The sequence below is a fragment of the Homo sapiens genome, chromosome 21, assembly GCF_000001405.40.
Source record: "Homo sapiens chromosome 21, GRCh38.p14 Primary Assembly".
NCBI lineage: Eukaryota > Metazoa > Chordata > Mammalia > Primates > Hominidae > Homo > Homo sapiens.
This window is the reverse complement of record NC_000021.9, coordinates 43,805,455-43,821,865: the sequence shown is the minus strand read 5'-3', so window position 1 is coordinate 43,821,865 and position 16,411 is coordinate 43,805,455. Positions and strand designations below refer to the sequence as shown.

Below are 16,411 nucleotides of genomic sequence, written 5' to 3'. Positions count from 1 at the left end.
CTGCAATCCCGGCACCTCCGGAGGCCGAGGCAGGCAGATCACTTGCGGTCAGGAGCTGGAGACCAGCCCGGCCAACACGGCGAAACCCTGTCTCCACCAAAAAATACGAAAACCAGTCAGGCGTGGCGGCGCGCGCCTGCAATCCCAGGCACTCGGCAGGCTGAGGCAGGAGAATCAGGCAGGGAGGTTGCAGTGAGCCGAGATGGCGGCAGTACAGTCCAGCCTGGGCTCAGCATCAGACGGAGACCGTGGAGAGAGAGGGAGACCGTGGAGAGGGAGAGGGAGAGGGAGAGGGAGAGGGAGAGGGAGAGGGAGAGGGAGAGGACCCCATCACTTAAAAAAAAAATTCTTTTTTTTTTTTTTTCATCAAGCATTTTCTGTAGATTTTTGGAAGAAAATCTTTCTCCTGTTGAGGTCATTGCTTTGTTGAATTTTATTGAATATCAGCTATGAACCAGCGGATACAGGCACATGTCTTTTCTCCTTTAACTGGTGAGACTGGTGCATTATCTGGGTACCTTTTGTAATGTTTTACTAAACCTGAGTTCCTGGGACAAAATCCATTACTTGATTAATTTTGCTAATATTTTCTTTGCTGTTTTGAAAAGTATTTTTCTAATAATTAAGATTGGCCAGTAATTATCCTTTCTTGTAATGTCCTCATTTTTTTGATGTTGAGATTACATTATCTCATAAAATGTGTTGGTCACTTCTTTTCAAAAAGAGAGGCCGGGAGTGATGGGTCACGCTTGTAATCCCAGCACTTTGGGAGGCCAAGGCGGGCGGATCACGAGGTCAAGAGATCGAGACCATCCTGGCCAACATGGTGAAACCCGGTCTCCGCTAAAAATACAAAAATTAGCTGGCAGGGAGGCGCGCGGCTGTAGCCCCAGCTACTCAGGAGGCTGAGACGGGAGAATCGCTTGAACCCGGGAGGCAGAGGTTGCAGTGAGCTGAGATGGCGCCACTGCACTCCAGCCTGGTGACAGAGTGAGAGTCCATGTCAAAAAAAAAAAAAAAGAGAAATGGTGCCTGAGTTCCTGTGACTGCCGTAGTAGCGAATTACACAAACCTGGTGGCTCGAAGTAACAGAAAAGGATTCCCTCGAAGTTCTGATGTCCAGAAGGCTGAAACCAAGGTGTGGGCAGGGCCCCGCTCCTTCCGAAGGCTCCAAGGAGGATCCTTCCTGCCCCTCCCCGCTTCGGGTGACTCTAGGCGTCCCTCGGCTGTGGCTGTGTCACCTTGACCCCTGCCTCTGCCGTCCATGGCCTTCTCCATGTGTCCCTCTGTGGCCTCTCCTCTTCTCATAAGGACACCAGTCATTGGATTTAGGGCCCACCCTAAAACCAGGATGATCACAGACTCTCAATTAATTACACCTGCAAAGACCCTTATTCCAAATAAGGTGGAATTTGGAGGGTGTTCTGCTCAACGTGCTGCAGACAGCAGGAGACACTTAAAAGCTCAGATCGTCATCGCAGTGGTGTTTTTAGGACGGTGCAACCTTCGTGTGCACAGGACATGCTGCTGATGGAAGCAAGTGCGGGTCCTCATCTTTCCAGACATCAGAAGCTGGGCCCGTGTGGGAAACACAGGCTTTGCTTAACCCAGAATTAACTGCAGTCTATGCAGGGGTGCGGCCCCTGCAGGTGTCCCCCGTATCATTCAGGGCTGCCAGCCCAGGCTGCAAAGTCCTCAGGGGTGGGACCCCAGAACTGGACAGGTCTTAGAGGTCACCTTGTCCTCCACACACTTACAGAGGAGGGAACCAAGGCCCAGACAGGCAGGGAGACTTGGCCCAGATCCCAAAGTGGGAGGAGGACGTGGTTCTCGGAGCTGTTCTGACCCCCGAGCTGCTTGAGTCTCTTCAGCAAGCCCCATCCATGTTCATAGCTCCCCACAGTGACAGCCCTGCCTCCCCGGACAGAATCCCAGACACTCTCCTCCCAGCCTCCACTGCCAGGACCCAGGCGTTGGTCAGGCTCAATTCGATGTGCCGTGAGAGGTTTTGATTCAGAACCGTATCCCTGGGGACCAGGCATGAGGCTTCTGCTGTCCTGGTGTGGACAGCACCAGGGGAGGTGGGACCTGAGCCGGTATCTGGGCCCACACAGGAAGGCCGGCTCAGGCACGGTCTGCGTCCCTGCCAGCGTCCCCGTCTTCTACCTGGTGAGTTCACACCCGAGGTCGCAGAATCAAGGCCAGGGCTCAGGCTACCACACTCAACTCTTCCAGGATGCAGTGGCTCCCCGTGGCCTCTCCAGGATGTCCACTGTCCTCTCTGAAGGCTGAGGCCAGCTCAGGACTGCAGAGCCACAGCCTGCTCTCCCTCCCTCCCCTTCTCCCCACCCCCCCCTCCTCTCTCCCCTGGGACTGCACCTCCCCACCCCCATCAAATGTTGGCATGTGGCCACTGGGAACCTGGGCTGAGATGCAGGGTCAAGCCAAATCTACTCCCTCTGGAAAGAACTGTCTTGGTTACAAAGGAAACGGGAAACCAAGGCCCCTTCAATGAGCTCCCTTCTAAATGGAGTTTGATCGATTCTTCTGCCAAGTGAAGGTGCCTGCAAGACTTTGTTCTAACAATCTCCTAACAGTTTTACGCTATTCTATAGAGGACAACCTTCTAGGGGCAAAAGAATGGCTCAGAATTTAATCCATGAAAGGTCGCTGAATATTGGAGACCCTGTGAGCATTTGAATTTGACGAGGAGTTGGGGGAGGGAGAGAGTTCTTTTCAACCAACACAGCCCATGGGGAAAGGGGAGCAAACTCACGAACCATGGCAGAGCCCTCCCACCCAGCTCTGAGTTTTCCTGCTGGAAAACCCCACCACAGCAGGAAAGATGAAGAAAAAAAGACATTGCACTCATGAAACAGGAACAGGAAGCTGTAAAAAAAGAACAAGCAGAGAGCAGAAATGAGCTCTTGGAAATGAAACCTGGGAGGGCAGAAATTTAAAATGCAGGAGGAAGTTCGGACATTCAAGAACATCTCCCAGAAAGCAGAACAAAAGACAAGGCAGTGAATGTTGGGGAGGAAAATAGGAGGAGGAGAAGTTCCACCTTCCAACCGCAGAGCTCAGAGGGAAGAGGGGGTCTAAGACAGAAGGGAGCTCACACAGCACATTCCCGAAGCTGCAGCACTGCTCTGCAGGCTGAGGGGGTCCTTGGTCTGGACAGAGGGTGGAGGCAGACCCCACCCACCAAGCATAAAGCCTCAGGCTTGGAGATCACAGGAAGTGCCTGTGTGGACTTGTGTATGAGTGTGTGCACGTGTATGTGTGTTTGCATGCATGTATGTGTCTGTGTGTGTCTGCATCTGCTTGTGTGTCTATGTGCATATGTGTGCTTGTGTGCGTTTGTGTGCACCTGGAATCTCAGCACTTTGGGAGGCCAAGGCAGGAGGATCACATAAGCTCAGGAGTTTGAGACCAGCCTAGGCAACATTGTGAGACCACAATCTCTACAAAAAAAAAAAAAAAAAAGGTTTTAATTAGCTGGGCATTGCAGTGTGCACCTGTAATCCTAGCTACTCAGGAGGCTAAGGCTGGAGAATCGCTTGAGTCCAGGAGGTTGAGGCTGCAGTAAGCTGAGATTGCGCCACTGCACTCCAGCCTGGGCAATGGAGAAAGACCCTATCTAAAAAAAAAACAAAAACAAAAACAAAAAACACACACAACAGAAAGTTAAAGCTTCCACACTGGAGAAGCTATCCGGGGTGACACAGAGCAGAAAGGAGACCCCAAAAGAGGTAGAGTTGGAGAGGAAGAAGCCAGACTGACAGAGAGACGGACAGACAAGGGCACGGCCCCCACCCAGGCCCGGGGCAGCCCCTGGGGGCCCAGCTCCAGGGTGAGTCCATTTCCTGCACATGCAAGCCCTGCGCACACCCACAGGAGGAACTCTCAGGAGGCCACGCCAATCTGACATCAACAGGGCCCCGCCACCATCGAGGCAGCTTTCATGATTGCCAGCCATGAAACCCGGGAGGAGGCTGCCAGCAGGCTCCAGAGGCAGATGAACCCAGCCCCTGCCCACCTCTCCAGGACACAGCCGTCCTCGGACATGGGCCACCACACCTGCTCCAGCAATCAGCAGGACAGAGACTGAGACCTTGGCCATGGCATGGAGCTGCCGCACAAGGAACACAACAGATGCTGCTAGCGTGCACTGGCACGCATTCTACGTGTACCGAAACCAGCAGGCTACACTCCTGCTCTGATCACAAACACACTGCCTCGCGGAGGGGGCGGACACAATGCTGGCTGCAGCTGAGACGCCCACCGTACCAGGCCTTGCCGAGACTGGGATCCTGGCTGTCCCACCCCAAGCCCACAGGGTCGGTGGGCCTGTCTGTGACACTATGTGGGAGGAGGGCGCCAGGCTGGCTACCCAGTCTAGGGTGGGACCACAGCACTGAGGAGAAGCCCTGGGGATGCCCACTGAGCCTCCTGGTACAGCCCCTCAGAAGCCACTGCCCAGCTAACACACAGCCACCCGGTTTCTGGGGCGGAGCCAGGCCTGGGGCCAGTGCCCTCCTGAGCCGGCACCCAGAGGGCATGCAAAGAGGCCCCAGGGCTGGGCCCCAGGAGAAACACTGACCCTCACAGCCCAGAGGAGGCCTTTGTGTGGGAGGAGCTGCCCTGAGCTGCCTTCGAGCCTCGAAAGGTGTCACCCTCTGGGGCGTCAGACCACAGGCAGCCCCAAGTGTGCTAAATGTGCTTCCCTGGCCCCTCCAGCATCCTCCCTGTGGTCTGTCCTGCCACGCCTGCCTGCTGGTTCCGGCCGGGTGACAGTGGGCACCTGCTGAGCGGGTCTCTGCAGCCACCCTGCACGGCGAACGGCCCGGCCAGTTGAGGTCTCCAGTGGCCTCGCTGTGACCTCAGAACCAGGGACTGGGTCACAGGTCAGGTTGCACCTCCTCGACCCACACAAGGCGGCCACCTGCCCCAAGCCAAGTGTGCCCAGACCTCCGTCCTGAGCTCAGCCTGCAGCAGATGGCGCTCTCTGCTGCCCCCCTTCTTTCCTTGGCCACCCCAACCATGGTCCCCCAGGCTTTGCCTCGTTTGGTGCCCTCAGCCCTCCTCCTAGGCTGGGCCTCCTGCAGGCCATGCAGGAGAGGCCTCTTGTCCACCTGTGCCCTGCAGAGGCACCCCCCACCAGCCCCACAGAGCTGCCGTCCCTGCTGGGGCTGTGGCCAGCTCCGGGGGCACACCCCTCGTGGACAGAGGCTGTCTGGGGCCAGGGGGGTTGGGGAGGGGTGGAGGGGAGGTGGCTGATGGGTCAGTCCCTCCAGCCTGGGTCTGGGAGAACCCACAGCAGGCTTTGTGGGGTGCCTGGTTGCCTCTCACAGGGAAAGTGTCAGAGGGGCAGTTGGGGGTGACTTCCTGGTCAGGGGGAGAGTGGCAGGAGGGCCTATGTCCAGGAGGGGCTATGTCATCCCCTAGCACCTGCTGGGCGGTAGGGACAGGTTTTCTGGCCCCACAAGGGCCACACGCCCAAGGCCAGGACCTGACCTGGGGCCAAATCTCCCCAGTAGCTCCTGTGTCCGTTCACCACCTGGCTGAGCTGGGCTGTGCCCTGGTGGTGGCTGAGGGTCCTGGAGGCGGAAGTGCACAGGGCACAGCAGCTCACCCAGAGATCAGGCCCCGTTAACCCTCAGCAGGAGAGGGAGGCAGGGGCCGGGGCTGCTCCACCCAAAATGCCACCCAAGTGCGGCACGGCCCAGGGTGCGGAAGGGACCTGGTGACCAAGGCCGGCATGTGCCCAGGGTGCGGAGGGGACCAGGTGACCAGGGCCAGCGCGTGAGAATAACATGTGTGACCGACACAGGCAGCTGGAGACAGGAAACGCACAGGGGGTCGGTGTCCCTCAGACAGCAGAGACTGTCACGGGCCGAACTGTGTCCCTCAGACAGCAAGGGACTGTCACGGGCCAAACTGTGTCCCTCAAAAATCCGAACGTGGGAGTCTTAACTCCCCCAGGATCCCAGCTGTGACTGTATTTGGAGGTAGGGTCTTAAGAGAGGAGATTAGATTAAAATTAGATTGTAAATCAGCAAATTGTATCTTAAATATATGATCTTTAAGTGTCACAAATACCTTAATTAAAAAAAAATAATTGAGAAGCCAGAACATGAAAAGTTTTTTAAGTTAAAATAAGGCTATTTGGGTGGACCCCACCCAACCTACCTGTGTTTTTATAAGAGGCAATGAGGACACAGACACACAGGAAAACGGCCCTGTGAGGACACGGGGAGGAGGCGCCAGGTGCCAGCCCAGGAGAGAGGCCTCAGGAGCCAGCCCCACTGCACCCTGGCCTCGGGCCCCAGCCTCCGGGACTGTGGGAGAATCTATGTGGGTTGCTGAAGCCCCAGCCTGTGGTCCTTTGTCACGGCCACCAGAGCAGACTCACACAGCGGCCTCAAAGGATGGGGCCACTTGTTCTCCCCGCCGCCCCCCTGCCCCGCCCACCCCCCTTTCCCCTGCAGCCACGCCCCCTCACCGGCCGCCTCCCGCCCCGCCCACCCACCTTTCCCCTGCAGCCACGCCCTCTCACCGGTCGCCTCCCGCCCCGCCCACCCACCTTTCCCCTGCAGCCACGCCCTCTCACCGGTCGCCCCCCCTCCCCCCCGCCCACCCCCCTTTCCCCTGCTGCCACGCCCTCTCACCGGTCTACACACCCGTGCACCCCTGCAGGGCCTTGGCACTGGCTACTCCTGCCGCCAACCCCACTCTGCCCCAAATATCCACTTGGCTCCCGGCTTTGCCTCTGTCAAATATTTGCCCAAAGAAGCCCTCCCCTGACCGCACACTCGCCCTCCACACGGCCAACCCTTCACCTTGCTCTATCTTCTCCACTGCACTTACTGGGGGCTTCAGGTAGTCTTCCTGCTTCCTTCCTTCCTCCCTCCAAAACAGAGGCTGAGCCCGGCTGTTGCGGACCCTTGCCTGAGGCGAGAGGCAGGAGTAGGACATCATGTGCCAGGCGCAGTGGCTCACACCTCACGAACATTCACCTTGAACAAACCTCATCAAGGTTTTCCCCACATCTCAATGGAAGGGCAGCCCACGGCTGATTGACGGGTTGGAGGGGTGCCCAAAAGACAACCTTCCTGCCCCAGCCAGCCCAACTCCAGGTGCTCCAGGGCTCCCAGTGGGACCAGGCTGTCTCCAGCCAAGCCGACCTCCTGGCCTGGCTCCCTCCCTCTCCGCAGAGTGCCATGATCACCCCACACAGGCCCCAGCACCTCTGACCTAAACCCCAAGGGCCAGAATACGGTGTCACCACCCACCCAACCTGACCCAGGCCGAGGGAGCTGGGAGCAGAAATTCAGGATGCGGAGGTGAGGGGAGCAGAGGCTGGATTCAATTCAGCCGAATTCCAATTGGGAGAAAAGTGAACTCCACCCGGGCTTGCCTGGAAGCCCGTTTCCTTGGGAACCGCAGGGCTGAGAAACAGCCTGGCCAGGGAAAAGGCAGCTCCTGGCGGGCAGCCTGGGGCAGCCATGGGTGTGCAGACCTCGGCCCCTGTGAGCAGCGGAGAGAAAAGGACAGGTGGCACTGGGCTGTGGCTTCTCCGTGTCCAGGAGACCCGAACGGCTCAGAGCCTTCAGGCAAGAGTAGGACATTATGGGTCGGGCGCAGTGGCTCACGCCTGTAGTCCCAGCACTTTGGGAGGCCAAGGCGGGCAGATCATGAGGTCAGGAGTTGGAGACCAGCCTGGCCAACGTGGTGAAACCGTCTCTACTAAAAATATAAAAATTAGCTGGGCATGGTGGCGTGTGCCTGTAATCCCAGCTACTCAGGAGGCTGAGGCAGGAGAATCGCTTGAACCCAGGAGGTGGAGGTTGCAGTGAGCCGAGATCATGCCATTGCACTCCAGCCTGGGCGACAGAGCGAGACTCTCTCTCTCAAAAAAAAAAAAAAAAAGTAGGACACTGTTGTCTGTCCAAGGGAGGGACAGACCCCAGGGCAAGTGGCACAAAGCAGACAGGGTGCCAGGAGGTGCCCAAGGGGTGCCAGGGGCAGGGTGAGGACCTGGTGCTCAGACTCAAAACCTACACTCAGGCTAGCTCCCAGTCGGCCAGCCCAGGAGTCACCCAGGCACACCCTAGGGGAGGGGACGGGGCTGCCTGCTGCCTGAGCCCTTCACTCCCCCGGGGAATGGGACCTGTGCCCCACAGCCTAGGGACAGGGCCACTGGCCTTAGGACAGACCAGGCAGCAGACAGGCCACGGCACCATAAGCCCTATACTCATTCCCCGGCACCACCTGCTCCTGGCCAGGCCCCACACTTGGTCTGGCCTGACCCTGCCCTCAAGTGCCCTGAGGGTGACATGGGGGGCCCAGGGGCTGCTGGGGATGAGGATGAAGCCTGACTGTGAGGCGGGGCAGACTGGGCGGGGGCCTGGGCCTCGCTGGGTCACCTGGGATGTAGGTCAAGGCAAGGAGGGAGGACCTGGAACGCCCCTCCCCTGCCCCTGCCTGGCTCCCCAATGCCCTGGCCATGGGAATCAGGTACTGTGGCACCAGGTGGATGGTCTGGGTGTCCAGGGAGTCTGGGGCCACTTTTGGAATCTGCCAGCCCCTGCCACGTACCAGCGTTTTCGAATCCTCTCACTCTCCGCCAAATCACCCAGAGCAGTTTTCCAGGGACAGGAGAGGGAAGGAGCTGCCCATTGCGCTGCCCCTGGCTCAAGCTCTGAGAGGGGCGTAGGGCTGGGGACAGCGGCCAGGACTCCGGGGCTGTGGGGGCGGGTTCTGGGTGCGTCATGGGGTGCGCCCTGCTGTGCCTGCCCGAGTGCGGGGCCTGACCTGACCAGGTGAGCCCTTCTCTGAGGAAGCTGATGAGGGAGAATTTCTCCTGCTGGCACTGAAGAAGCAAAGTGTGTGGGGGGGGGAGCCTCGGGGAAGGGGGCTGTGGGCACCTCCAGGATCTGAGGGAACCCCAGGAATAGCCCGTGAGAGAAACGGGAGGCCTACAGCCAAGAGTGCATCCTCTAGAAGACAAGGAAGAAAGAAGAATGCACCCTCCCAACAGCCAGGGAGTGTGCGAGAGGCCCAGCCTCCAGTGCCTGGCAGCTTCAGCACCCACTTCAGCCAGGGAGCCCTGGGCAGGCCCAGCCATGCCTCCCAAACCCTCGTCTACGGCTGGGCGCTGACATGCAGTGGTGGTGAAGTCACCAAGTTCAAGGTAATTTGTTGCACAGCACGGGTACTTAATGCAGGAGGGACTCGATAAACATTTAGGCAGGAAAAGAAAGAAGAACAAAGGAGGGAGGGAGGAGCCACCAGGAAGGAAGGAGGGTGACTGCAGAGACCGGCCCTGGGCAGCGGTACCAGGGGCACAGGGAGCCTGGCCCGGCCCATTGTCACTGGAATTCATGCCATGCAGACTTCTACATCAAAGGGAAACAAGGTCAGGAGGGCCGAGGGGTCCACGGCACTCCGCACCCACGGGGCCAGGCTGGCACAACGCCCCAACGCTGCAATCCTGGGAAGAGTCACACGCGCCCTCCCGGGACCCACGTGACCATCAAGGGAGTGTGGAGGACACATCCCTCGGGGGTGACGCCCCTGCAGATGGAGTTTCCCCATCTGTGCCACCCTTGCAAGGCCTGGGAAAGGCTGCGGGGCCAGGCGGCACCGGGCAAGCTGAGTGCCAGGTGGTGGTTGCAACACACCGGGCAAATCTGAAACCATGGGACGGACGAGCTGCACCCCTGGGAAAGAGAACAGAGGAAGGCCGGTTATCAACGTCCTCCTGTGCCTCAGTTTCCAGAAACAAGCCAGACTCAGTGCCTCAGGGAGACCCCGTGTGGCCTCCGGAGAGCACGGGACCCGCCCTTTGTGCAGGTGAGGAAACTGAACCCCAGAGCAGTGAGGGACTGGCCTGGGGACCCTGGGCTCAGCCCTGGGCGCCTTCCCTCTGCCCATCTCAGACGGGCACAGCCAGCACCGCCTCACCCCAACGCGCCTCCAGACTGGCCCTCCAGGGGCCCCCAGGCACAATCCTCTCACTTTCTTCCTCAAGCCCCTGCCTTCCCCCTTCGCACTGTGACCCAGGGGCTGCTAGCAGCTGGGCTGGGCTCCAAAGCTTGAAGCTGCTTCTCCAGGTCTCTTTCCAGGGGGCGGCGGATGGCTGCTCACTCAGGGACGCCAACACCAACAGGAAGGGACCCATGCACGGATCTGACTTCCCTCCCAGGCTCTGCCTTCACTCAATGTCCCTGTGGGGCAGCTGGGGCTCCCGGCCGCCCTCCCCTGCCCACAGCCGTGAGGTTGCTTCCTAGGGTTCTGTTTTCCCCACAGTCGGAACTGAGGTGCTGGGAGGCTCCAGAAGAGGGATGGGGTGGAGCAAGTGGCCTGGAGCCCCCCAGGGCAGACCCCAAAGAGAAGGGTCAGAAGTGCCCTCTGGGGCCTGGGCAGCTGGGGGGAGCCCACAAGCCTGAGACCCTGTGGGAGGGAAGCGCCCCCACCCCGTGGTAAGAAAGGGGCTGGTAGAGGCTCCTATGTGGCTCCCTCTGTCCCCTCCCGACCTCTGGCCAGGCTTGGGATAATCCCTGAGTGGACACAGGCGCCACGATGGGGTCTCGGGGGTGAGGGCTGAGGAGGCTGAGCCTCCAAGGACCCCAGGGTGCCTGTTCCCACTGCACACCCACCAGGGCACAGGGTAGGGATAGTGCCAGGAGGGCCACAGCTGCAGGGTCCATCCCAGGCCGTGGTACACAGGTAGAGGTGGGTGCCAGCCTTCGTGAAGCACCTGCAGAAGCTCCACTCAGGGAGAGAACGAGGCACTCGCCCAAACAGATCCTGGGTCACACGGGGCAGCAAGAGAGGGTGGAGCAAGTGGCCTGGAGCAAAGGGTTGGAGGCCCCGGGGCGGCGCGTTCTCCCCCAAGCCCATTCCAGGGCCATGGGCACCCCCCAGAGGCAGCTGGTGGGACTGCAGCCATGCAGGTCCTAGAGGGCAGGTGACAGGGGACGTGACAGAAGGGGACAAAGGGCCGGCAACATCCCTGGGGGAGGCACAGAGAGGGCCAGACTGCCCTCGGTGGACTGCGGAACCCAGAACCCAACGGCCAATCCTCCCCCTACTCCTCACCCACAGTAAGGGGCCAGGGCTCCATGCAATGAGAACCCACGGGTGATGCCACACGGGGGAGAAGCCACGCGGGGGAGAGGCCATGCAGGGGAGAGGTTACAAGGGGGAGAGGCTGCGGGGTGAGAGGTCACATGGGGCAGAGGCCACGCGGGGGAGAGGCCACGCAGGGGAGAGGTCACATGGGGGAGGCCACGCAGGGGAGAGGTCACATGGGGGAGAGGCCACACAAGGGAGAGGCCATGCAGGGGAGAGGTCACAATGGGGAGAGGCCGCAGGGGGGAGAGGTCACATGGGGCAGAGGCCACGCGGGGGAGAGGCCACGCAGGGGAGAGGTCACATGGGGGAGGACACGCAGGGGAGAGGTCACAAGGGGGAGAGGCCGCAGGGGGAGAGGTCACATGGGGGAGAGGCTACACAGGGGAGAGGCCGCACGCTGGGGAGATGGTCCCTGCGGGAAGACTCCGAGGCAGTCTCCTGCAGCTCCTTCCGGCGAATCCGGTTCAGGAAGTAAAACCAGCCCTGTGTAGAGGTAAGTGATGCTTGTGGGGATAATCTCCGAGCAGCTCACCGCGGCGCTGGCCATTGCCGTTCTCTTCACGGTAGAAGAGTCCATTTGGGGAAAAGGTCCCCATCAGAGATGGAGATGTTCCCTTTCAGACTCCAGGCTATGGCTGTGGGGCCGGCTCCCTACCACGTGGGCTGGGGGCTGGGCACATGCATGCCCACTCCTGGGCCCTCTTCCTGGTAGGCCACAGCACCACACACACTGCAAACCAGGCCTCTTCTTCATCCACCACCACCGTCCAGGCCTCAACATCACCGCGTGGGGTCTTGTGCCCTCTGGGGGAACTTCCGGGCTAATGAGGGGGGACAGTCCCCATTACCGGTCTATCTTTATAAGGCAGTATATGCAACAGTGGAAGTTCTGTGAGACATGTTCCAACCCCGGGGCTGCTGGCAGAACTGTCCCCAAACCCACCCTCGATCCCACGGCCAGGAAGTGGGTCCAAAATTGCCTGGCCAGGTCACACCCCTGCGTGAACCGCCCCACAACACCCAGGGCGCTGCCTGACTTGCCGTCCACCTCTCAGCCCCTCCCCTCACCCCTGCCGCAGCTGCAGGGCCTACCCTCGCCGGGGGCTGCTCCCTGCTTACCTCCCTCGCCCGTGCAATGCCTCTACTTCCCGCAAGGCCTACCGGGAGATGTTACAGGTCACGGTCATATTTGAGCATGAGAAGCTCACGCAGAGAACATTCTGGCTGAGGGAGAGGTCTTGGGGTTCAAGGCTGTTTCTTGGCTCTGCTCAGCCATGCCAGGCAGGAAAATGGGCACCTCTAGTGACCCAGGCTGGCTGAGAGCCTGCAGGGAAGAGCCTTTGGAACGTGAGCCACTGTGGGCTGGCAGGACTGCAACTGGCGTCTCCATCTACTGGTACCGAGGCGAGGAGGAAAAAGCAGGGGGGCCCGGAGACGGCCCCTCTAAGTCTGTAACTCCAGAGCTGCTGCTCAGTCCCCAGAACGTCACCTCCGAGCAGAGCCTGTGACAACTGTCAACTGTGAAGCTGTGGCGTGGGTTGCTACTGAAGCTCTGAAGTCAGCGAGGACACAGCATGTTTGTTCTAGACCGTTTGGCTGCGGGAGGAAGCTGTACATGCACACACTCGCCTCACCACCCTGCGAGTCCACAGGCCCCTCCCCGGAGTCACCTCCAGGTAAAGGGGGCCCTGCGTCGGGACTTGCTCTCTGGGGCGCTGAGATGCTCTACAATGAGCTGTGCTGCAGTGCACGGCCGCCCGACTGTGCACCCGCAACGGGGAACTGAACGCTGCATGAAGTACATCTCCAAGTTGTTCTTTAAGAAGGCTTAGGGTCCCTGGAAGACCCTCGCCCACACCCAGCGTGGAGCGTTGTTGCTCACGTGGCCACACCTCTCGGGATGGCCGTGGGTCTCCGTGATGGGTGAGTCAAGAAGTTTCTTTTCTTCCTCCTTGTGGGCTTCAAATGGGGAGGTGGGGTGCTGCCACTTGCCAGGTCAGCCTCTGAGCTTGGAAGAGGAGCATCCAGGAGACCCCCGCTCACCAGGCACCCCTGAGCTCCCTCAAGCTCCCTCGGGAGCCTCAGACAGGGCCAACAAGGGCAGAGCTGCACCGTAGGGGCGGGGGGCCACGGCGGCCCAGGCTGGGTGAAGAGCGGGTGTCCTGGTGTCAGAGCCCCACAGGAACCGGGGGCCCTGCAGGAGGTGGCGCAGCTGGGTGTGAAAGCAGGTGACCAGGCAGGAGGGTTCCCGCGGGGGTGGCAGAGCCGAAGGTGAGGAGGGCACCCACGCGGGAAGGGGCGCAGCACCCACTCCGGGCCTCGGTTCTGCATGAAGTGAGTATCGGGGGTAATGTAAGCCAGAGTTCCTTCGGCAAAGGGAGGTTCAAACACAGAAGGGAAACCCTAGAATACACCCTGGGTGTCCATCACAGCTGGAGGCACCGCCTCTCCCAGAGGTCAACTCCTAACACGAGTGGGGCAGGCATAGGCAGCCGATAAGACAGTGAGCGGCCAACGCTGCAGCAGACCCCGGCACCCAGCTTCGGGTGGAGCGCCCCGATGTTCCTGAGGGTGTTTCCAGGATGAGGCTGATTTGAATCGGTGGACTAAGGAAAGCAGGTGGGCCTCTGCAGAGGGGGCCTCATCCAGTCTGCCTGGTCAAGGACTTAAAAGACCGGGGTCCCCGCCCCTGAGGACGTTCCGGGGTCTCCAGCCGGCCGCCTGCCCTGCAGAACTCCCAACTGCCAGCCCCAGTCCTGTGAGCCGACTCCTCACAACAAACAGGGCACTCTCCCCTCCGCCACCACCACACACACACGCCTGCTATGGACAGGACTGTATCCCCTGACAAGCACATGTTGAAGCCCTAACTCCCCGTGTGACTGGAGATGGGGCCTCTAAGGAGGTGACCAGGGTTAAATGAGATCACAGGGCTGGGCCCCAGTCCAACCTTCCTGACATCCTTGTAAGGGAGGTCAGGACGGCCCGGCGCAGTGGCTCACGCCTGTAATCCCAGCACTTTGGGAGGCTGAGGCAGGAGGATCATGAGGTCAGGAGTTCAAGACCAGCCTGATCAACATGGTGAAACCCCATCTCTACTAAAAATACAAAAATTAGCCAGGCGTGGTGGCACACACCTGTAATCCCAGTTACTCAGGGGCTGAGGCAGGAGAATCGCTTGAACCTGGGAGGCGGAGATTGCAGTGAGCTGAGATGGTGCCCCTGCACTCCAGCCTGGGCGACAGAGCGACACTTTTTCTCCAAAAAAAAATAAATATGGTCAGGACACCGTGAGAAGGTGGCCACTGATTAAGATAAGCCAAGGAGGGGGCCCAGGAAAAGCAACTCTGCCGACACTCCCTCGGAATCCTCCAGAACGGAAACTCACCCTCCCAGGCCTAAGCTGCCCAGTCCCTACTATTTTGTTCTCGCAGCTGGAGTGGACAGACACAAAACCCATTCATTGGTTCTGTTTTTTCTGAAGACCTTAATCTAGACAGATGGAGGGTGGCTGGCGGGACAGGTAGAGAACAGGCATGCGCTGTGCACACACTGCCCCAGCTCTGCCAGCTGAGAACACCTGTGAACAATGAGATCGGAATAGCAAGGGCCCAGCCAGATCGGCTTCTAAACACCACCCTCCCCTCACAGGAGCTAGAGATCTTCAGAGAAATGAGAGAATCTGAACAGGGCCCTAGGGCTGCAAACGACTTCACTGAGACAACCAAGGACTGAGGGTTCGAGGGTTGGACACAGTGAGGTATCCACGCTAATTCCCTGATTTTTCCTGGTTTGAGACGGGGTCTTGATGTTGCCCAGGCTCACTCAAATTCATGGGCCCAAGCGATCCTCCCGCCTTGGCCTCCAGGGTAGCTGGGACTACACACATGCCACCACACCTGGCTCTAGCTCCCTCTGTGACCACTGTGCTGTGGTTAAGGGAATGTCTCTGTAGGAGGAAATGGGCCACAAAGTATCCAGGGTGCTGGGGCACCAAGTCAGGAAATGCTCTCAAAAGGCTCGGGGGAGAAATGCTGTGTGTCTGCAATGTTTCTGTAAGGTTGAGAGATTGTTTTTCCAGGAAAAAGCAACATCATCCTCATCCCAGCCCTGTGCTGTTACTCCCACTCCACAGGCAGGCGAGTGGAACCACAGGTGCTTCCCGTCCTGGTCACAAAGTCAGAGTGGCTGGGCCAAGTGTCCTGAGAAGAGTCACCTCCTGGGATCCCATCAGCCTGGCCATAGCAGAACACCCAGACAGGGGCCCATCCCCGAGGCTCAACTCAACGCATGCAGCCACTGTAGAAAAGTCTGGAAAGTAGTTCTTCAACCGACTAGACATGGTGAGCCCAAAACCCAGCCATGACACTCCTAGGCATCTGCCCCAGAGGAATGAAAGCATCCATCCCCTGCAAACTCATCCTTACACAGCAGCGTGACTCAAGACGGCCAAAGGCGGAAACACCCCAAACGTCCATCAGTGGACAAACGGGCAGATGCAATGCACTGTCTGTACCGTGGGATGTCACTCAGCCATATGAAGGAAAGACTCCAGTGTGGATGAGCCCTGGAACCACGGTGCTGCGTGATCCCGTAACACATGGCCAGAACAGACACGGCCCGGAACCTGAGGCCGGGAGGATGCGTGCAGGTGGCGGGGAGACAGAGGGGCGATGGCCCAGTTTCTTTTGGGCTGAAAATGGTCTAAAGTTGACTGTGGTGATGGCTGTACAACTTTGAATATGCTGAAAACTCGAATTACACACTTCAGTTGGGCGAACTGTACTCCATGTGAATTACCTCTCGATGGTTCTCTCCTGGGCTCAGGCGCTTCTCCCACCTTGGCCTCCTGAGTAGCTGGAACTACCATTCATGTGCGGAAATAAAACAACTCGGTCTCAAAAAAAACTCAACTCAAAACTCAGTCTCAAAAATAAAAAAATAAAAAAGTAAAAGAGGCTACCAATAGGAGAGGAATTCAGTCATTCATGTCATAAGCACAATGCGGTTATTTAAAACAATTCTGAATATGGGGAAACGTGCACCCAGCAGGGCCTGGAAACAGCCAGAGCGTGACAGTGCCGGCGCAGCCATGAAAAACCCCTCCCTGTGAACACACATGTGAAAGAAGATGCAAAGTCACTGTGGCTTCCAGTTTCACAACTGCAATTCGGCATCTCTAATTTGCTTTTTTCCAGAAACTTCTGTTAGCATGGTTGTTTCCTTAGCTTTTGACCAAAGAAACTTCAAAAACAAGAAAGCGTTATAA

General features: G+C 58.7%; 2 long non-coding RNA genes across 2 annotated transcripts, besides 3 other annotated features; one reads left to right on the top strand and one right to left on the bottom strand.

Moving 5' to 3' along the window:
• Nucleotides 1–409: 409 nt before the first annotated feature.
• LOC124905033 (uncharacterized) lies at nucleotides 410–9,194 on the bottom strand. Its single transcript, XR_007067897.1, has 2 exons — nucleotides 6,871–9,194; nucleotides 410–1,340 (listed from the first exon to the last, which is right to left on the bottom strand). It is a non-coding gene; the product is annotated as an uncharacterized LOC124905033 (long non-coding RNA).
• A 104-nt stretch (nucleotides 9,195–9,298) lies between these two features.
• Nucleotides 9,299–16,108, top strand: AATBC (apoptosis associated transcript in bladder cancer). Its single transcript, NR_026961.1, has 2 exons — nucleotides 9,299–13,065; nucleotides 15,278–16,108. It is a non-coding gene; the product is annotated as an apoptosis associated transcript in bladder cancer (long non-coding RNA).
• Nucleotides 10,797–11,713: an enhancer, noted in NCBI's record as "H3K4me1 hESC enhancer chr21:45230034-45230950 (GRCh37/hg19 assembly coordinates)". NCBI's record gives its function as "activates a minimal SCP1, AML or CMV promoter by ChIP-STARR-seq in primed H9 embryonic stem cells {active_cell/tissue: H9 hESC(primed)}" and the evidence as "EXISTENCE:reporter gene assay evidence [ECO:0000049][PMID:30033119]".
• Nucleotides 15,602–15,901: an enhancer, noted in NCBI's record as "active region_18551". NCBI's record gives its function as "activates an Ori minimal core promoter by ATAC-STARR-seq in GM12878 lymphoblastoid cells {active_cell/tissue: GM12878}" and the evidence as "EXISTENCE:reporter gene assay evidence [ECO:0000049][PMID:35858748]".
• Nucleotides 16,262–16,401: an enhancer, noted in NCBI's record as "active region_18550". NCBI's record gives its function as "activates an Ori minimal core promoter by ATAC-STARR-seq in GM12878 lymphoblastoid cells {active_cell/tissue: GM12878}" and the evidence as "EXISTENCE:reporter gene assay evidence [ECO:0000049][PMID:35858748]".